The 20,945-nt window shown below is 55.8% G+C and overlaps 1 protein-coding gene across 14 annotated transcripts in view, besides 3 other annotated features; it reads right to left on the bottom strand.

The window, feature by feature from the left end:
* The window catches only part of DYSF (dysferlin), a 233,203-nt gene that overhangs the window by 119,031 nt on the left and 93,227 nt on the right, over positions 1–20,945 (bottom strand). For 8 of the 14 annotated variants that reach the window (NM_001130981.2, NM_001130980.2, NM_001130977.2 and 5 more), the window contains 7 exons: positions 16,577–16,692; positions 16,013–16,126; positions 14,545–14,722; positions 13,802–13,926; positions 11,662–11,768; positions 5,789–5,981; positions 3,520–3,675 (listed from right to left, as the gene is read on the bottom strand). In NM_001130981.2, the coding sequence (NP_001124453.1) occupies positions 3,520–3,675; positions 5,789–5,981; positions 11,662–11,768; positions 13,802–13,926; positions 14,545–14,722; positions 16,013–16,126; positions 16,577–16,692 (989 nt within the window). Of the gene's footprint in view, positions 1–3,519; positions 3,676–5,788; positions 5,982–11,661; positions 11,769–13,801; positions 13,927–14,544; positions 14,723–16,012; positions 16,127–16,576; positions 16,693–18,341; positions 18,384–20,945 lie in introns of all 14 variants that reach the window. The other 6 variants (NM_001130979.2, NM_001130978.2, NM_003494.4 and 3 more) reach the window with 1 other exon arrangement.
* Positions 7,083–7,610: an enhancer, noted in NCBI's record as "H3K27ac-H3K4me1 hESC enhancer chr2:71787253-71787780 (GRCh37/hg19 assembly coordinates)". NCBI's record gives its function as "activates a minimal SCP1, AML or CMV promoter by ChIP-STARR-seq in naive H9 embryonic stem cells {active_cell/tissue: H9 hESC(naive)}" and the evidence as "EXISTENCE:reporter gene assay evidence [ECO:0000049][PMID:30033119]".
* Positions 13,985–14,484: an enhancer, noted in NCBI's record as "H3K4me1 hESC enhancer chr2:71780379-71780878 (GRCh37/hg19 assembly coordinates)". NCBI's record gives its function as "activates a minimal SCP1, AML or CMV promoter by ChIP-STARR-seq in naive H9 embryonic stem cells {active_cell/tissue: H9 hESC(naive)}" and the evidence as "EXISTENCE:reporter gene assay evidence [ECO:0000049][PMID:30033119]".
* Positions 14,485–14,986: an enhancer, noted in NCBI's record as "H3K4me1 hESC enhancer chr2:71779877-71780378 (GRCh37/hg19 assembly coordinates)". NCBI's record gives its function as "activates a minimal SCP1, AML or CMV promoter by ChIP-STARR-seq in naive H9 embryonic stem cells {active_cell/tissue: H9 hESC(naive)}" and the evidence as "EXISTENCE:reporter gene assay evidence [ECO:0000049][PMID:30033119]".

The raw sequence follows: 20,945 nt of genomic DNA, 5'->3' as shown, positions 1-20,945 counted from the left end.
CATCAAAGGCAAAGGCTACATCATTCCCTCCTAGGAGCGCTCTGCAGAGAAGAACCATGTCTAGCCCAGGACCTCTCCTCTCCCCTTCTCCCACCACAGCCTCGCTTCCATTTTCTTCTGGAACAGTGCTTGCCAATGGAACTTTCTGCTATGAGGAAAATGGTTTATATCTTCACCATCCAATATGGTAGTCAACTAGGCCCATGTAGCTACCGAGCATTTGAAATGTGGCCAGTATGACTGCGGAGATAAAGTTTTCGTTTCATTTACTTTTAATTAATGTAAATTTAAATAGCCATCTGTGGCTACCATATTGGACAGCACAGTTCTAAAACTTGTCTCTAAAGGAGATACAATGATACAGATCTGGAAAGAGAAGAAATTAAAGCCTCCCCCTCCATGTTTAGTATTTTATTTCTTTGGTTACTGTATCATCTAATATCCCTACCCTTTCAAGTGATTATCAGCATGTCAACCACTATTCACTGGTCTTCAACTGCTTTTTTTCCTGAAACTTTCAGAAGCTCTGCCAAATGGAATAACCACAACAACCCAACATGAAACAAAAATTATTCTCCACAATTACTTCACCATTTGATTGAAACCAAAGGTCAGACATGGCCTGAGGAGCAGAAGCTCCTGCTCTTAAAATTCACATTGTCCCCTAGAGGAGGCAACACATTAAGTACCCAGGCCTAGTGTCATGAGCTCAGAGCAGTATAGCCAAGTGAGAAAACGGGTGGGTTCAGAAGATGAAAGGGCAGCTGAGGTAAGGGGTCCCACGCTGGTCAGGGAGGCCTGGATCCCTGGAGGGAGAGCCCAGGGCAGGTAGGAGGCTCAGGAAGGGGCAGAGGACATGCCAAGGCTAGGGCCACCTCACGCTTCCCTCCTGCGGACACAGCCCCCCTTCTTTTGGTTCATCTTCAATGAAGCCTGTAGGAGCCCCTGAGTCCACGTGTCATGCCCCGGGGAAACCTCTCCATGGCTGTTCGCTTCGGCTGTCCTCTCCCCCGGGTGGTTAACTGCCTTTACCCTCCAAACCACCAGCCCCAGGGAGATGGCAGGAATGCCTGACCCCCACTTCCCCCATCCACCCCCGGCTCTCTCCCCTGTCCTCCCCGAGACGGGGCCAGCCTGCTGGACCCAAAATAGCAACAGCAAATAAAGAAATGTCTAGTTTGGGGCTCCTCTCTCTCTCTGCTGGTGCTCATTTTTTCCAACTTTGGTTTAAGTTAAGAAACACCAATGTTTTCTTGGTCTCTGCTTGCTGCCAACATTTTTGTAGAGCTTGCTCAGGAGCTACTGGCGGGGCTCATAAACTCAGTGGGGAAGACTTCGAGAAACAATTCTATATCTTTTTTTTTTTTTTTTTTTTTTTTGCTTGAAACCAGGGAAAATTTTCAGTTTGCATTTCCCTGAGGCTACATGGCCAAGAGGTCAGAACCTGGAGCTCATCCCCTCCCAGCAAGTCCACCAGGCACAATTCAGCAGCACCCCCCGCCCCGCCCCCGCCACTCTCGCAGACCGCCTTCCCCGGTCAGCCCCACTCAGATATGGCCACTCCTTGACTTCCTTTCCTTTCTGCCCTACCAGGCCAGGAACTGGCTTAGGAGGTAGACTCTCAGAGGTTAGGCTCTGACAAGCACAGGAGGTTAGAATCTAATGGGAAACATGCCCCAGGTGGCATGTGAGCAGGTGGATGGGGGCAGCCTGCTGCCCAACACACACACACACAGACACACTCACTCACACAACTGTGTGCAGACATCTACTATCCCTGGCCTTGAGTTGGCCTCCAGTCATGGCACGCATAGAGCAGGGGAGCTCCCCAAAAGGAAAAGGGGAGAGGTGGGGAGAGAAACTAACATCCATTGATCACTTAGTTCCAGCAAGACCCATCACCTGTGTCACCTAACTCAACCCTCAAAACCTGTAAAGTGGGCAGCCCCACCCACCCTCATTTTACAGATGATAAGACAACAGGCAATTCAGAGAGGTTAAGCAACCTGCCCAAGGCCACATAGAGCTCCAACCAGCCCTGGCATCCTCTGTGCTACTGAAACCTGCCCTCTCCACACCCCCCAGGGGACAACAAGAGGACTGGCCAATATATGAATGCATCAGCATCACTCAGGGGGCTCTGCTTCAGGGTTCCAGGCTAAAGTAAGTCAACAACGACTTCCTGGAAGAGGGGAGGAGGGAGGAGAGATGTAGGGAAGGGGAAGGTCCAGCGTGGAGGGGCTTTGGGGAGGTGGACTAGGCTGGATGAAAGTCTGGTGCCTTAGGCTGAGGAGTCCTTGAATGCTAGTAGAGCTATTCAGGGCAAATGAAAAGAGGTAAGGAGGGCTGGCGCGGTGGCTCACGCCTGAATCCCAGCACTTTGGGAGGCCAAGGCAGGCGGATCACCTGAGGTCAGGATTTCGAGACCAGCCTGGCCAACATGGTGAAACCCCATCTCCACTAAAATTAAAAAAAAAAAAAAAAAAGAGCTGGGTGGGTTGGCAAACGCCTATAATCCCAGCTACTCAGGAGGCTGAGGGAGGAGAATCCCTTGAACTTGTGAGGCGGAGGCTGCAGTGAGTGGAGATCACACCACTACACTCCAGCCTGGGCAATAGAATGAGATTCCAACTCAAAAAAAAAAAAGGTAAGGAGCAGGCCTGCTTCTCAGGGCCACTCCTCCCCAAGCAGGGGCAGCCTTGCTGACAGCTCTTCAAGGAGGGCCCTCCCTTGGGCCTGGGCAGCCATCGTGCAGGGAGGGATCTCCCGCATTGTGTCCTGCACGCCAGGCCACACCATGACCACAGCAGCTTTGGCTCTATGTCCGCGCATGAGCCTAGAGAGGAGCACAGATGGGCTCTCCCCAAGCACCCACTCACCTCCCTGTCACCCGTCCCCAAAGCTGGTGACCCTCCTGGAAAGGAGGAAGAGGGAGCAGGGATGGGTGTTAGAAGAGGAGAAAGGGCAGGAGAGGTGGGGGCTGGTGAGACCAGGGGACAGAATTACATGCTCCCAGCTCTCCAGTGGGTCCAGATTGTGGTGTGCCTGTCCCAAGCCCCAGATACCAGCCTTCCCAGCAGGGAGGACTTGAGCCTCAGAGTGGCTCCAGCTCCAGTCCAGGGCACTCGGGTTGGTGTGGAAGCCAGGTCATGCAAGGCCTGCTAGTGCCTGGGAACTGAGGATGAGGCCTCCCTATAAGGGACCTGCCTGGAAGGACAAACACAGCCCCAGGGGTCAGCCCTCCCAGATGGCCTGGGCCACAGACTCCACCTCATTCACTCCCAGCGCCAGTGATTCCGGCTCAAACCTACTAACTTCCTAGACTAGGTGCAGGGGCCTGGGGACTTCGGGGGTAACCGAGGAAAAGGGAAATTGTTTTACCCAAAGACCTCTTCTCCTTCCAAGACCACAGCCTAAGAACTAAGATAGGTCAAGAACAGGAGGGGAAACAGAAGAGATGGGAGAAAGGCCTTATGTTGGGAAAAATACGATCATGACTTGGGAAAAAAGAAAACTCACTTTCAGAAAGATTGTCTGTAGCTTCCCACAATTCTTGCCACAGTAGTTGGCACCCCGCCGGGAGAAGAGGACTTGGTGGGCGGGCACCCGCTGGTATGCCACACGCTTGTCTCCCTGCAGCATCCAGATGACGATGTCCGGCAGGCTGTTCTGGGGCTGAACAGAGGGTGGTGGTCGGGGTGGGGATGGTGACACACCAGGCCCACGCCCCACAGCCACACCGTGAGCTGACCTCTGACTCAGAGGCCACAGAGGCCTCTCCTCTCCCAGCTTCCATCCCACACACTGTCCACCCTGGCCTTCCCCCAGACCTCCCAGGGCTGGCCAGTGTCTGGCTTGAGTGGCGGTGAGCCCCCAGAGAACAGAGCATAAGGCTGCCCCCAGCTCACATGAGAAGCCCACCAAGGTTACTGAGCTGAGTACATCCTTCTGGGAAGAGACACTCCTGCCTGGACCTCAAACCTTACATTCTTAGGTCCTCGCTACCAGGTAGACATTCCCAGGGGGCAAACATCAGAGAACTAGATTTGACCAGGGAGGTAACATTACGCCTAGGACACCACCCGCCTTCCTCAGCCCCAAGAGCGGGAACAGATCCACAGAAGGTATGCCCTTCCCAGAGGACACACACCCTCCTCCCGTAGCAGCAGGACTCCCATGGCCTGAAGACACTGGACTCTGAAAATGGTGACTAGTCCAGAACAAAACTGTGAGGCCCCTAAGCCCCTCCAGCATGATTGACAACTGCTCCCAGCTGCACACTCTGGAGAGCAGGCTGATTGGGTAAGGGTCCATTTGCTTCCAAGGATGATGAGCAAAGTGAGCCCAAGTGAGCCCCAGGTCTCCACCCAGGGTCCTGCTGAGCTGATGCTCCTGCAGCACAGGTGAAGCATGCCCATGCGTCGCTTCACTGAACCCCAACAGCAAGCCCAGGAGGCAGGACAGGCAGCCCCATTTGACAGGTGAGGAAATTCAGGCTTTGAGAGCTTAGGAGCCAATGCAGGTTTTTCTGACTCCAAATATGTGTTCCTAACCACTATACCAGGGGTTCTCAAAGTGTGGCACCCACAGCAGCAGCAGCTTCCAGGAACTTGTTAGAAATGCATATTTTCAGGTTTGCCCCAGTTCCAGGGGGGCAGGAACTCGAGGGGTGGGCCCTAACCTGCTTTTCACAAGCCCTCCAAGGGATTCTGATGCACATGCAAGTTTGAGAAGGGCTCTCTCCACGGGGCCCTTACAGTGACAGCACTGTTCGACCTTAACCCCTTCCAGCCATATCACAATTTGTGCTTACAGTTCACGGGTCAGTCTGGGCTGAGATTACAGAGGGAAGCCCGTGACCAGCCTGAGGGGTTGGTCTGCTGCCACTGTGAGGAGTTGGTCCACAGCTGAGCGACACAGTGTCCACCAGGGAACCAGCCTGTGCCTATAGGCCCTGCTGACTCCAGGGACCCACATCCCTTCCTGAGCAGCCTCCCTCTCCCCTTCCACAGCTTCCTCCAGCAACCGCTCTCCTGGCCCTGCCCTTCTCACACTCCTGGGGAGAGCCCCTACCTCCTCCCTGGGAGTCCCACAGGGCTCTGGTCAGAGCAGGCAGCAGCTGTGTCTGCCCAACACTTATGAGCAGACGCTTCTCATTCCAGACAAATACCGGACCTGCCTATTTGCCACAGAACCGGGTGGGTGCATCTGGCCACAGAGACCTCAGGGGGAGGGTCTGCAGGTGGGGAAATAGTTCCCCAAAGACAAACCAGAGCCGGTTCTCTCTGATCAGATTCAGCAAAACTCAGAGTTACTGAAAATGAAGCCTCCTTGGGCCTGGGGTTCAGAGGCATCCAGGACAACAGGAAACAGAGGGTCCAGGCAGGGCAGGTTGTTGGCCAGGTGCAGACAGGCACTGGCTGGCAGGAAGTAGGAGTCGGGAACCTGGGGAAGCTGGCCCTGGCACTGAACCTAGAACCAGGTACCTTGGATTCTGGTCCCAGCTCTGTCTCTGACATACTTTGGCAAACAGAGGGCATTTATTAGTTACCTATTGTGTGCCAGGCTCTGTGCTGGGCCCCATAACACCCAGTATTCCATCGTACCCTCTCTCTTCCTTCTGCAAATTGGTCCATTGAGGTTCAGAGAGGTTAAGTCACCTGCCCAAGGTCACCCAGCAATGGAACCGGGGTGGGTAATAATCCAGACATTCGCCTTGTCCCTGCCAGTTCTGATGTTCCAGGCAGCAGGAGAGCAGAAGAAGAAAGGCACCCCCAGGCTTAATTACCTCCTCTGCCAGGGCACGCAGACGCAGGAGCCAGTCCTCCGCCTGCTCCAGAGCTGCAGGGAGCTCACTGTGGCCGAGCTTCAGGGCCAGGGCAGCCTCAGTGATTTGGCTCAGGTGATGGGTGCGCAGCTGGTACAGGTACTGGTCCAGGTGGGTGGCAGAGGGTGTCTCATGGATGTCACCCAGAGGCTGGCTGTGAGGGACGGACAGATGGAATGCGCCTGATGAGCCCAGGGCTCTCCCAGGTCCAGGCATGCACATGTGCCAGGTTCTCACAGCAGGCCCCACCCCCTCCGCCTGCCTGCTGGGTGCCTTCTCCAGCCCGCTCCACACACACAGCCATCTCTATGTGATGTGCTCCACCCTCACCTCCTCCAGGAAGCCTTCCTCACCCATGTCAGCCTACGCGCCTCCTGATCTGGAGCCCCCAGCCCTCGATTCCAGGACTGCCAGTTTGGAATCTGTCCTCAACTCCAGTCCAGTGAGTTCTTTTGCATGTGTGTTCCCCTCTGCCCCACTGACTACAGGCTCTCGGAGGGCCCAGGGGGTCCTGCTCCTGCCTCCTGGATCCTCCTAGAGTAGAGGCTCCAGCGCTGAGTGCCCTGCACTGAAACAAGTCTGCTCTGTGCTGTGTCCACATTCTTCAAGGAAGAAATTTAGGAACCCCTGAAGAGCTACTGCAGGCACTGCAGGGAGGCCAGCAGCTCAGATGTATCCACCTGAGGTGGGGTGGGGAGCCACAACAGAACCCTTCCCAGAACACTCTGCTTTGGGAAGCCTTTGGAGAGGAGGTGGGGGGTACATGCAATGCCAGAAACACAGCCCTGAGCCCTGAGAGACAGGAGGTCAGGTTTAAGCTCAATCCTGTTTAGAGGCAAAGAACTCTGACCTCCCCCATCCCACGGAGGCGCCCTGAAAGTCCTTCATATGGCTCCTCCTCGCCATTCCAAGGCCAGGGGTCGGTACCCACACAAGGGCCATGCAGAAATGCGGCGGGGCAGTCTGTGCACTCCCTAACCAAGCGGGACTCCTCTCCATTTTCCATTCTCCACTGAGGGTATGGGGGCTGCCCTGCCCCCACCTCACCCCCTTGACTCCCAAACAGGACATTAGTCAAACCCGCTCCACCAGGTCTGCTCCCACCACTTGCAGCACCCCCCACCTCCCCTCCCTGCAGCGTCTGACTCCCGGCTCCCGGCTGATTTATTTTTCTGCCAATTTCCCCGAGCTATGCAGAACCAATTACCGCCGGAGCGCAGCGGCACCGCCGCCGCCAGATACACCGCTCTGGCAGGCCCTCGGCGCACTACATTTTTCCTGTTATTTTTTTTAATTGAATTTTTAGGATGGGGGGAGCAGTACGCAAACTCCATCTCGGGAAACTTAAGCCCCGGGGCCTGTCTCAGGTCACGTACTGCACACCCTGTAGTAATATAATATTTACTGCCCCGAGGGTGCCGCGGATGGGCTGCCCCAGGCCGCTCCTCGGTGGTGGAGGGGCATGCTCGGTGGGTAGCGGGGCGGGGGCCTGCCTGGGAACCAGGCCTGAGTGGGCCTGAGAGCGGGGGCAAGCGGGTCTGGAGAGGGATAGGGAGAGCCGAGCCAACCAGGGTGATTTATGCGCCCAGCCCGGGTCGGGAGCCGGGAGGGGCTGCAGTACAGACCACCAAAGGGAGATTTTCATGGAGGCCACAGCCCAGCCAAGACTCCCCAAGAAACATTTAGGACCTGTGAGTGCCACTAACAAGCTGTCTCCGTGCTGTCTCGGCTCTTTCCCTCCTCAGGAAAGCCCAAGGCAGGGGGTACGGAAAGAAGGGGAGACCGGGAAGAGGAGGCTGATGGCGCTCCACCCAGCCCTAAGCAAAGCCAGGGGCCCCGCCAACGCCGGCTGACTTGGAAATTGCAGGTAGGCCCAGCGCAGGGCTCAGCAGGCTGAGAGCAGAGTGGGCTGGGCTGCTCCCAAGGTCCCTGCCTGCCTCTGCGGGGCCAGGTGGATACCTGTACCCTGGGCAGTGTCCGGCCTGAAAGATGAACTGGCCTCGGGGCATTCATTTCACTCCTAGTGAGCAACAGCTCTGCCCTGGGCTTGGACTGGATGCTGCCTCCAGAGATGAGACCTGGCCCTGCTCTCAGGAAGTCCGCAGAACAGAGACGCAAACAGATCCCCACCTGAGCAGCCTCAGAGTCAGGAGCCCTTCCTGGAGGAAGTGGCCCTGAGCTGCACCTGGCAGGGCCAGCAGGCGTTAGTAAGGCCCAAAGAGTGGGAAGGGCGTCCTGGCTGATGGAGCAGCATGTGCACAAGTGCAAAGACACAGAGGCAAGGGGGAGCCTGTAGGGGTGGGGGTGCTGAGGGCCGGACAAACTAGCGCAGAGCTTCAGAAGCGTTAGGGCTCCGTGAGGCAGGTGGTGGGGACAGAAAGGCCTGTCCACCAGGATGAGAGCAGGGGCTTTTCCTGGATGCAGCAGCAGCCACTGCAGGGCTGACATGGAGGCAGGCATGACACAGCTTGAAGACGATGGGGATACTAAAGGAGGGGTGGGAGAGGAAGGAAGGAGGAAGGACATGGGTGAGGCAGAGCCACCAGGGCTGGGGCAGAGAAAAGAGGAGGAGGGCAGTCAGAGCTGGCTCAGGTTTCCAGCGTGGATTCTGGGGACCCAGGAAAAGACAGTGCTGGGAGGTGATGAAACCTGTCTGCAACATGTGTAGCCCCAGACGCAGCACGGAGGTGCTGGTGGGACATCCACGTGGACATGTCCAGCACCTTGGGTTCATAGGTCTAGAGATCAGAGAAGAGGGCTGGGCTGGAGGAACAGAGTGGACACCACCAGCCCTGGGGAAGGGGGAGGCTCCCGGAAGATGAGCCGGGAAAAGGGCTGAGATGGAATGAGGAACACCGATGCTGGAGAAGTGGGCCAGGCTGACTGGAGAAAGGGTGAGCTGCTGTGTTCAGCTATGGGCCTGAGTTCGCTCAGGGCCCCCATGCCCGGCTGCTCTGCCTATCAGCTGTGATGGTGCTCAGCACTGCAGTGAGAGGTGGAGGAAGCCCTCTAGCTGAGGTGCTGGGCCACTCAGTGGCCTCAGGTGGAGCTGAGCGAATTGCTCCTGCTGCCTGGAATTCCCCCCCAGAGAGGCATTATGCATTCTCAAGAGGACGGGAACCCAGTTCCCCTCCCAAGCTCCTGAGCTGGAACCAGCCTCCCTGCTGGGAGGCCCAGCCACTCTTCCAACCCCAGGAGAGTGACTCAAAGGCGCCAGAACTGTTTGTAGGCAGATCCTCCAAGAGCAGAGCCCTGCAGAGGTCACTGAGGGCAGCCAAGGACTCAGGGCCCACAGGTCTCAGATATTCCAGGCTCCTCAGACCTGCCAAGCTACAAACAACACGGGGGTCATGTGCAGGGCCACGGGTAGAACCCAGAGTCCTGGCCCACCCACCTCACCCAAGGTGGTGCCAACATGGCACCATGAGTCACCTTGCAGGTGGGATCTGGGGCCCCGGGGATGCCCTGGGGAGCTCACCCAGTGGCTGTAGCCACCACAGGCTGACCGTGCCCATATGTGCCCCTCCAACCCCACTCTGTCCTCCCACCTCCAGACCACAGGCCAGCTTCCTCACAGATACCTCAACACAGCCTGTCCTGAATGCCTCACCTCCCCCTCAACTGGCTCCTCCTCCTGCTGACCCTCTCAGAGCACAGCCCCCATGCCCACCTAGCCCCCCTGGCCAGGATCAGGGGATCATTCTGAACCCTCCTGTGGCTCCCATATTCACCCCATCATCAGGTTCTGTCCATTACAGAGCAGCACAGCAAGGGGGTTCTGCCACTCACCAGGTGTGTGAATCTGGGCAAGTTAACCTCTCTGTGCCTCAGTTTCCTATCTGTAAAACGAGGGTCATTTACTTTTTTTTTTTTTGAGACAGAGTCTTGCTCTGTCACCCAGTCTGGAGTGTAGGGGCACAATCTCAGCTCACTGCAACATCCACCTCCTGGGTTCAAGCAATTCTGCTGTCTCAGCCTCCCAAGTAGCTGGGATTACAGGCACCCGCCACCACACATGGCTAATTTTTGTATTTTTAGTAGAGATGGGGCCAGGCTGGTCTTGAACTCCTGACCTCAAGTGATCTGTCTGCCTCAGTCTCCCAAAGTGCTGGGATTACAGCTGTGAGCCTCCACACCCAGCCTACTTTCTAGTTCATAAGATTTCATGGTTGGTTAATACATGTAAAATTCTTAGGACAATGCCTGGCACAGAAGACTGCTTGTCATCATAATCCCTCCTAAATAGTCCATGCTGCCCTAGCCCCCACCCCTCCCACTATCACTGTCTTAGTTACACCATCATCACAGCTCACCTGCCGTATGTCCAGTCTCCCCTCCCCTGGTCCCAGCACCTGCCATTCGCCGCCACCACCAGTCCATTCCTCACATTGCAGCATTTAGACCCTGGGATCACCTTTCCCTCGGCCTTGCTCCCAGGGCTGAGCTCTCCTTAGCAGAGACCCTCGGGGCCGCCCAATTGGGCAACAGCCTCTCCTGCCACTTCCCCCACCCAGGAGGCAGCAGGCATTTCAGGCTTCTGTGCCTTTGCCCTGGCAGTCCCCTCTCCAAAGGCTAACTCCTGCTCCTCCCTCAAAGTCCACCTGGGGCATCCCCTTCTCCAGGAAGCTTCCCTGAATTCAATTTGTGGGAATGAGATGCACCTGCTTAGAGCTCCTACAGTGCTCACCTCTAACTTCCTAACGCACTTTACCTCCTCTGCCCATTTTTCGCATCCAACCATCCCTGGAGGGCTGAAGTTGTACCTTTGTCAGTATGCTCTGGGCATCTGGCACTGAGCCTGCCAGGCTTCAGGAAGGTTGGGGGAAATGGGTGAATGGCCTGTCTGGAATTCCACTACTGGGCCGGGAGCATTTCTCTGGGGTAATATTTTGATAAAGATACACTTCCTAACTGAGCCACAAACAATAGAAGGGATGCTGGATCAGTGACCATGGTTATCAGTTTCTCAGATGCGTTCAGCAGGGCTGTACAGCCAGGCTGAGGGAGGGGTGATGAGGCGTATGGGAGCATAGAATACATTTGCATATATTCACACATTTGCATATATTAACCCTGTGGAGAGCAGAGGGGCAATTATTTAAGTCCATTTAACAGCTGAGAAAACTAAAGTCCAGAGAAGAGAAGCTTCCCAAAGTTACCAAGTCAGATAAAGAGACCAGGAGCTAAGTCTCCTGACATTTCTTCTTCTGAGCAATAATTATAGCTACCATTTATTAAATCCTTCCCAAGGGCCAGGCACTTTGTTTAGAAGATATTATAAAGTAGTTATTCTTCATGCCAGGTTGAAGTTGAGAAAACCAAGGGTCAAAACCCATGGGTGGCTCCCCAAAACCACATGGCAGCAGAGGAGATGTGAGATGCACCCCTCTGCTGGGCCTCCACACCCCGGGCCCTTTTTTCCTGAAGTCAACAATCAGCCATGTCAATAGAAAGCTAAACAGAAACCATGATCCCCGACATGGCCTTGAGGGAATGAGGGGCGCCGTCACCCCACCCCCCAGCCAGCTCCTCCTGGAGATTCCATCAGGGAAATAAGAGGTCGGGGATCAGAGACACAATGCTCCCCATTCAGGTGAGCCGGCCGCCGGGCCCGCAGCTGCCGCTGCTGCAGGGAGATTTATGACCTGCTCTCAATGTCACCTTTTCAACTCCTGCACTGGCTCCACCACCTTTGGACTCAGCACGGGCTGGACTGCTGGCCAAGCGTGGCTGGGAGACGTGCCACTGCTCACTGCCACACACGAGCACTCCCAGCGAAACAGGCCCAGTTGAGCCAGGAGAGGTGGGCACCAGGGGCGCCAGGTCCCCCCTACCTGCAGCCTGCGATGAGCTCATCCGTCAGCTGAGCCACCAGCGAGTCCACGTCCTCCGTGGAGCACTGCGCCTTCAGGGCCAGGTGGACCTGCTCCAGGCCAGCTTCCTGTGGAATGGGCAGGCAAGGGTCAGGTGTGTCACCACAGGGCAGAGGGTGCATGCTGGACCCAACCCCCAGGCCTTGTCACTGCTACTGAACCAAAAAGGAGTGAACAGTTAGAGCAAAGAAGGCAGAGTCCAGGCCCAACAAACCAGGGTCTATCCTGGCTCAAGAACCTTCCAAGGCTCCCCACGCCCAAATACATCCAGTCTCATGCCTGTAACTCCAGCCTCACATGTAGTCATGAGGAGCTCAGGGGGTGTCTGCAGACTTGGGCAGAACTTGATGGCTTCTGACTCCTCCCTGCTACCTCAAACCAGGCCTGGCTTCCCACAGGTAAGTGGCCCTCTCCGAGCCTGCTCTGGTTCCCCACCTGGAACCCTCTCTCCTTTCCAGATTCTACCACCCAATGAGGCTCAGACTAAGAGCGCCCTCCTCCAGGATTCGTCCTGCCACCTCTAATCACAGACAGCTCCTTCCTCAAACTCCTGTGGCCTGCTCACTCCCTGTGCTGCCTCCCAGGGAAACAGGCCCTTACCGAGCTCTTCTCCAGCCCTCTCCATGGGTCCTCAGCCCTGAGCTGAGAGGCCAAGGACTGTCCCTCAGCCCCCGACACACCCCTCCCCACCCAGCAGCCTTCCTGAGCAAGGACACGTGCTCAGGACTTGGACTACCAATCTCGTAGAACTGGAAAGAACACGGTCCCTGCCCTCTTGGAGTCTGGAGTCTTGCTGTGAGCCAGTGATGGGCCCAGAAGGCAGATACTGGAGCTATATAGCATCAACTCCATGTTCTCCCCATCTCAGCATTCGCTGGTCTCCTCTTTCCCCTAGAGCTGCCAGTCTCTGGGAAGGTGGGACCACCATGGCCTCTTTCCCTTCTCTGTCCACCTTTCCTTCAAGCCATGCTCACCTCCCCACCCACAGACACGCCCAGGCCTCTCCAGTCCCCCTTCCCTCCACCTGCTGATCTGAGCATGCTCCTGCAGTAGGGCCTGCACATGTCTCTTCCACTTTCTCACCAGCTGTCCCCATCCATGCCACAGAAACCCCTACAGCCACTGCCAGGACCATCAGCTTCCCGCCCAGCCTCCTCACCTCCCTTAGCCTCTACACCTCTGCCCACCTGTGATTCTCCTCCATTCTGGCCAAGTGCCAGGACTGCAGCATCCAGCATCTGCAGGGGGTTCCCCAGAAGGCTCCTCCTCACCTCCAAAACAGAACCTGACCTCATATGCTCTGCTCTTCTCCCCAGCTTCCCAATTCCCCAGCCACTTGAGTTCCTCCTTATAGCCCTTCCTCAGCCCCAAATCCAGTCGGCCACCAAGGCCTTGTAGCTCAAGTCCTGCAATTTCCCCCCAAGGCCATCTCCTTCCCAGGGCTTGGTCACCCTCCCCCAGGTCCCTGCAATGGTGGCCTAGCTGGGTTCCCACCCCCCATCTCCTTGCACTGGACACAGCCCCCTCACTGGCCTATGATGCCTTCCTGATGCTCCTTGGCCACCTGCCCTGCTCGGAGCCCCACATCTCTTTGCCCCTGGAATGTCACCTGTACCTAAGTTTGGAAAGCCCTGTATGAGAGGCACAAGTGAGCCTATGCCCTCCTTTAATAAACTGACTCCCTGAAGACAGAGCCAACTGCTTGCTCACCTCTCGCCTCTAGCTTCTGGCTAGAAGTTTCTAGCACAAGCCCTTGTGTGCATTACGAGTCCAAAGGCCTGTAATGAGTGAGTAAGCGAGCGAGAGCCAGGCCGTGCCCTGCTGCGTGGCATAGGTTTTCCTTCTGCTCCCTTGCTCTGTGTCCCACTGCACACTGGGGCTGCCTCAGATTGCTCACATCCCCTCTTTTCTCTTCCAAGCATGCAGGACAGGACCACAAGCCTGGTATTGCCAAGGCACAGAGGACACCAACCACAAAGGTCAGTAGGCACAGCCGTGTGTCAGTGTGTGCACCAGTGGGTGGTGGTCTGAGACACCCCATGCAGCGGGGGTAGCAGGTGCATGCATAGGCATGTGCAGCTTTGGGCAAGTTTTCACTCACCAGCCGGTCAGCAATCCCAAGCAGCTGGTTCTGAGTCTCGATTCTATGGCTGATGTCCTCCCAGTAGGATGACAGCACCACCACAGGTTTCACGTTACCCCAGGGTAGGTAGTAGTAGTGGCACCCTGGAATGGAGAGACGGGCCTGAGCGCTGTGCCAGGAGTGGAGGGCGGGTGGGATGGGGTGCTAAGAGTGCCAGCCTCCTGGGCACTCCAGGGCTAGGACTGGCAGAGCTGGGAAAGGGACCACACGTGGGACAGAGACAGGCACCTGCTCACCCTTCCCATCTAAGAACCCCCTTGGACACGTGGAGTGGCCCGTACCCGTGTTCCCTAGTGTCTGAAGAGGTGCCTGAGCTCCCTTCGTGAGTTGAGCAGACAGCTGCAGCTCTCATTAGGGCTCCTGGGCATGTCAAAACTGAGGAGATGTTAGAGCTGCCCTGGGAAACCCAAGGCCACACTCCCTAAAATGTCCAAACCAAGGCTGGCTGACTCCTTGAAATGATCAGGATGGGTCAGGGTCAATGCTGACCACAGCTGGTCCCAGGAGCTGCATCTGTGGGCACTAGTAGCAGGGCCCCTTGCCTGGAGGAGAGCAAGGGGACAGCTGGAACAGGTTTGCCAGGGCCAGGACCAGGGCCTTTGAGTAGACTCTGGCAGCTTTCCATGGGAGGCGGGATTTAAGGTGTGGCCCCCTGCTCTATGATCCTGTGATCGGGGTCCCAGCCAGGAGCACTGCCTCACCGTCAAAGACTGCACGGCTGTACTGAGTGGTGGAGGCCAGCGGCAGGCAGGTCATGTCGAACTTGTTCCCGTAGTTCCCGATGCTGACCTCAAACTGGATGGCATCATCCACATCCTGCAGCATGGTGGCTGAGTAGAAGGCCGCAAACAGGGAGTACTTGCGCCTCCTAAGGTACTTCTGAGAGCAGAGAGTAGACCAGAGGGTCACGGGAGGAGCAAAGAAAGGCACCCAGGCTGGGGAGGGGACATACGTCTGGCAGGCCCCGGCCATAACCGGCACCCAATAGCTCCTGGCTGGACTGACGGGTGGCAAGTAGCCCAAGAAAGAAACAGCATCCAGATTTCATTGCTAACTGAACAAGCTCATTCCAGGTCTGCATGTGTCTGGCCACGTTTCCCTAATAAGAGCTACTCCTCCAAGGTCAAGCTGCCCCTAATCCAAACCAGCAGCCATGGTACCACCACATCAGCTGAGTGGGGGCTCCCACTGGGCCCGCAGGGGCAACCCGGGCCTTATCTGCCATTCAGAGGGGCTTAAGGCTTTTAAGCCACCAGGCGCCTGACCAGAGCTCCTGCCCCATGCCACTCAGGGTCTCTCCCTCAGCAGCCAGCTCTTCAGGATACACGGGCTGCCACTGTCATGTGCCTGGGATGAAAGGGTCTCATTGTCCCCTCCAGGCTCTGAGCACGGGATGGGGACAGGGCAGGAACTCAATCCTACGACTGAGAGAAGAGGGGTCAGACAATTGGGTGTTAGGTGAATGTAAATAGTAGCAACAGCTAGCACTTAGTAAGTGCTTACTGCATATGTGTATTAATTTCCTTAATTCCCACAACTGTCTTATGAGATAAGTATAATCATTACCCCCACTTTCCAGATAGGGAAACTGATGCAGCCGGTAAGTGCTAGAGCCAGGATTCAAACCAGAGCGATCTGACCACTGTGTCTAAGAGCTTAAAGCACCACACAGACTCCACACAGCTACCTCCTGGACACAAGGCCCAGCTCTACCATTTGTTCCTCTGATATATCTGAGCCTGTTTCCTCATCTGTGAAATGGGGATAATAATAATAACAGCAGCCACCTCATGGTGCTGGGAGGAGTCAGTAATGGCAGAGGTGTCAGCAGCACAGTGCCTGATACATGTTCAGTGCTTATTTGACTTAACAGTTAGCTATCCTTATGTTATTAATATAAAATCGCATCTCATTTTGCATCAAGCTCTAGACTTTTTGAATATTTTCATTTATCTTCTCTGAGCCTCTGATCATCCCTCCAGGGAAGCAGGGCAAGTGTTGATTTATTCCCACTTTACAGCTGAGACTTGAGGCCCGGGGAGGTAAAGGCACGATGCGTGTGGGCAGAGCTTCCTCCTCCCTCGGCCATGACACCTCAAGGCCAGTCCCAGCCTGGCCATCCCTTCCCTGCCCCGACGCCCAGCTCCCACCCAGAGCCACACCCCTCACCTCCACCCGGAGGATGTCATCCGCAGGAAGGTCCTCCACCTTCTGTTCACTGTGCTCCACCAGCTTGGTCTCCAGGGAGAGCAGAAGCCGGCCACGATAAGCCACACCTTCCCCCTGCCAGGGAGGTCAGGTCACAAGGAGCAGGGGAGACAGAGGGGAGGAGGGGAAGGAAAGGGGCACCCTCTGGCCCTGAGGTAGCTCATCTCTCAGGCACCCAGGAGGTCCCTCAGCCAACCTCATCCCCCCTGCAGGTGAGGAAAGCATGGCCCAGAGAGTTCGGGGGATATGACAAGCCACCCAGATGGACAGTGCCAGATGCCAACTCAGCCTAAAAGACAAAGACAGAGAGACGGGGCCTGGGTGCTTCAAGGCGAGGAACATGGAAGGATCAGACTGGCACTCAGGCAGAGGCAGTGTCAAGGGGCAGAAGGAGAACTCCCTGAGGGGTTGGCTGCCAGGTCGTGGGCCCCCAGGAGGGGCTGGAAGACCCTGCATGCAGGCCTGGGCTCCTGAGGGACCTGGGCATCTGGCATCCTGCCCTTGCCAGGGCTCCAGCCGGCTTACCTTGCCTGTGTTGAGCTCTGTGTAGGGGTCTGGGAAGCCTGTGAACTCTCTGGGACTGCCATAGAGGTTGATGTAGCAGGGCCCAAAAGTGGGGAGGAAGCCCAGGTAGTCATCCACTGGGAGACACAAGTGGCAATCAGAGGGGTCGGCCCAGTGGGGCTTCCCAATGCTCCACCCAGCCACCTTCCAACCTGAGCCCACCCCTGGCCCTCAGTTCCCCCCCACATGCACCAGATGCAGCTCCTGTCAGTGTATAAAGAAGAACGCCACGAGCGATAGCTCTCACGCCCTCCCCTAAGTCTCTTTACTCCTCACCATCATGCTGAGATGCAATCATATTTTTATTAGTCTCATTTTACAGATGAGGAAACCGAGGCTTGGAGATGCAAAGAAACACAAGACTACAAGGTGGCAGGGTCCAGAATGGTGTCACCTCAAAGCCCATGCACTCAGCCAGCACACAAAGTTGGGGTTTGAGGCCCTCCACTGCTCGTGCCCCTCCCCAGCCCCACCCCCAGCATGTCCTGCATGTGCTCTCCATCCTACGCTTCTATAGGCACTGTAGGCCCTGCAGCCAATGGGGAGGGGCTAAGAGGTCCCAGAGCCCGGTAACCAGAGAAACCATCTCCCAGGAGGCCAGGGATGGAGCCCAGCTAGCCGTTCCTCCTCCCTAGGGTAGCCCCCAGGCACATACCCTCTGCCCTAACGGCCTTGCCTTATCCCAGAATCTCCTCCCCACACACACATTGTACAAAGAACAATTTTTTAACAGAGCAGGTCAGAGGAGAGTTCGAGAATTACACTCCTGAAGAGGGGAAATCTCTCCACATTCTTTCATCCTTTTCTGGAGGCTCTCTTTTACTAACATCATTTTCCAGCTCACAGCTGAGTTTCCCAGATGGGACTTTACTGGCCATGCTCTGAAAACCCTAAAATGCCACAGTGTCCCTTTCAGAGGAATGGGGAAGAGGTTGTTTCCAAAATGCCAAAGGTAGAAAGCAGGGCCAGAGACAGGAACCCTCTGGAACGACCCAATCAGTCCACACAAGGATGGGCCAAAGTAGGCACAAAACAAATGGCCTCAGCAAAGAAGCGTTTGAGCTAGACCTAAGGTCATGCACTGTGAGTCGAGCCCCTGCCCAGACCCTAGGGATGAGGAAGGGGCCAGGACAGGGAGGGACCAGAAGGCTGGAGCCTCACCTCCCCTCTCAGCCAGGGGCCTCCCCACCTCCTTCAACACCTTCTGTCTCCTAGACCCCAGCACAGACAGGGCACTGGCCTTCAGGAGAGGTGGGAGGCCCAGGTAGGTGGGCTAACAGGAGCATTACTAATTATTTGCGTTAATCATCTCAATTATGATTTACCTTGGGGATTTCAACTCCAAGAGTTTTTAACTCCTCTTGGCCTCCTCCTGGCCCCTGAAACACCTCACACTCCCCCTGCCCCACTCCAGACCCCCATGCCTGCCCCTACCCCTCACTACCAGACAGAGTGGTCTAACTCGAGCATCAGCCCAAGCCTATCCCATTTAGGAAGGGTTGGGGGAAGTGGGAGGAAATTGCCCCTTAAAGCATTCCAGATGATTTACATGCTCCACAGAGGCCGAGAGGTGACAGCAAAGGTAAGTCCAGGGACTTACCTTTGTGGGGGAATCTCAATCCCACCTCAGGCAAATCAAAAACCCCATGCCTCCAGCACCCTCGCCCCTCTAGCCAAAACCCAAGGCCCCACTCCCCTGGTTGTCCCCAAGGTGACAGCAACGTACAGTCTGAGGCTTTCGAAGGCTTGACAGCACCTGCAGGCTCCTCTGAAGCGTAAAGAAATGGAAAAGGGGTTAGGGTGGGCATGGCTGGGAGAAGGACGGGTTACATGAACAGGCTGTGGATGGAGAGCTGGCAGGCAGACAGATGGAAAGACAGCTCCCGGGTGTGAAACAGATGTGGCCCGAGGCCCCACCCTCTGCCCAGCTGTGAATTTATCATAAACTAAATCATCACGGCCCCTCCAGACGCAGCCCCCAACACCCCATGAGCCCTGGGGGTCCCACCTGGCCTGCCCATCACTCTGTGTGTTCCGTTTGCCAGTTGAAAACCAGACCCGAAACTTGATTCAATACACTCAAGGAATAATTCAGAAAAGAAAATGTGCTTTTCCATATGATAGCCAGATAAGTGAGGGGAACAAAGTACAGACACAACGGGAGGGTGGGGAGACACAAAAGGGCCAGAGCTAGGCAGCAAGGCACACCCCACACTCCAAGCCCGCAGGCAGGTCGTGCTTGGGACCAGGCGCGCCGAGCAGGGACATTTCAAGGCACAACATCTCCACCTAGTGGCCGTGTCCAGGATCACCCCCCTGAAGGCTCCACGTTGCGTTTTCACAACAGCAGGCACTGGCATCTGGCTTCTGACACAGGCCGCTTCCAGGGAATCACAGAGCCAGACACTGTCCACAAGCTGAACACGCTACACACTTGGGTGTGCCCCTGAATGTTGGTAAGGAATGTCTAGAAATAAGAAAAGCACGGAAGGAAATGCTCTGGCACATGTATGGACTCTGAATCTGTCCCTCACTGCTAGGCAGGTATGCGATGCGCCAAGGAAACGGACACCCCTCAGTCTTCCTCCACTGTCCTCTCTGATTTCTGCCTCTTCCCAAATCTGATCTTCCCATTCTCCTTCTCCAACAGTAAAGTGTAACGCAGTCTGAGGTCACGTGCACACCCGGGATGTGGTTGGTGAACTTGCTGATTACTTCCCTTCCTTGTTCACCTTTACCTGTTGCTGTCCTCCAGAAAACACTCGTTTTGCCCCTAGCTCTGTGACTGCAGTCAGAAGTCAAGGGTTGAGGAAAACTTTGTGAAGGAAGAATGCACAAAGACACAGAAAGAGTGGAGAAGAGAGAAGGGAGCGTGGCCATCCAGAGTGAGGACAGGGCAAAGACAGCAAGGAGGGCCCGGCCCAGCCCCTCAGCCCTCCTCAGCGAGGCCTCAGCTATGAATGCCAGCCAGCAGACACCAGGGCTGCAAAAATCATAGTTCATGGTCACCTTCATCTCCAAAGCAAGAGGTTTCCTTCTGTGGGCGAGCCAGGGCTCTGCTCATGGGGAGTTTTCTGCAACAGCGAGAGGGCCAACACAGACACAGCTGCAGGCCCGAGGAGAGCAGTGGCCAGGGACCACCGGAAGCAAACAGATCACATTTTAAGCTCCTTCTAAATGATTACTAACAGGCCTGGCCCGTTATCTCGGGCTAATGAGGCCAAGGTCACAGTTCCAACCCCCATGTGCTTCTTACAGAGGCAAAGTCGGCTTCCCACCCAGACTGATTTTGAATTCTGGCTGCAGACTGGTGTCCAGCCCAGATGCAGATGTCCCCCTAATCCCATCGGCCATCTGACCAACACATGGCTCTGGTGGCTCAGAGGATCAAGTGGGTGGCTGCGAAGCAGCCTGCCTCGCAACCACACCTTTTCATTAATTCACCCATTCTTTCTTTCTTTTTATTTATTTATTTATTGAGACAGTGTCTTGCTCTTGTTGCCCACACTGGAGCACAGTGGCCCAATCTCGGCTCACTGCAACCTCCGCCTCCCAGGTTCCAGCAATTCTGCCTCAGCCTCCCAAGTAGCTATGATTCCAGGTGCCCACCACCACCTATTTCTTGTATTTTTAGTGGAGATGGGGTTTCACCATGTTAGCCAGGCTGGTCTCGAACTCCTGAACTCAGGTGATCCACCCACCTCAGCCTCCCAAAGTGCTGGGATTACAGGTGTGAGCCACAGCACCCAACCTAATTCACCCATTCTTTCATTCATTTGTTCATTCAGCAAGCCTAACCAGGTGCAGGAGGAGGCACTGGGAATGTGTAATAAGACACAGCCCTGTTGGTGTCTTAGGTCAATGACTCCTGACTTGGGGGCGGATCGCAGTCTCTGGGTGTGAAGGTCCATCCCGGGCTCTCGCCCCTGTGTCTGCAGACAGTTCAAGAGCACAGTGACCAGTGAAGCCACCCAAGACAAAGCCTCTATTTAGTCCACATCACCGTTCTGCCAAAACACAAGTGTTTTATTGTGTTTTCCCTCAGCCCAGGAAGCTGGGGCTGTGGAAGCCCAAAACACAGATGAATGCTCCCAGTTCTGTGGCCCGAGCAACGAAGCCCAGCTGCCTCACCTGGGGGAAGCTGAAGGAGATAGACAGCAGGACCTCCCAGCCCAGTGAGCCACAAGTCCCAGCCCTGCACACAGTCCCCGGAACATGCATGAAGAAGCTGAGGCCATCACCTGCGGTCTGCCCCGCCAGCTCCCTCTGCCTCTCGGCACATCCCCAAGCCCATGGCGGCTGGCTGCCTGACTCTCGCTTGCGCCAGGCA

The sequence above is a fragment of the Homo sapiens genome, chromosome 2, assembly GCF_000001405.40.
Source record: "Homo sapiens chromosome 2, GRCh38.p14 Primary Assembly".
NCBI classification, from domain to species: domain Eukaryota; kingdom Metazoa; phylum Chordata; class Mammalia; order Primates; family Hominidae; genus Homo; species Homo sapiens.
The sequence above is the reverse complement of the archived record's forward strand: the minus strand, read 5'-3'. Positions and strand labels throughout refer to the sequence as shown.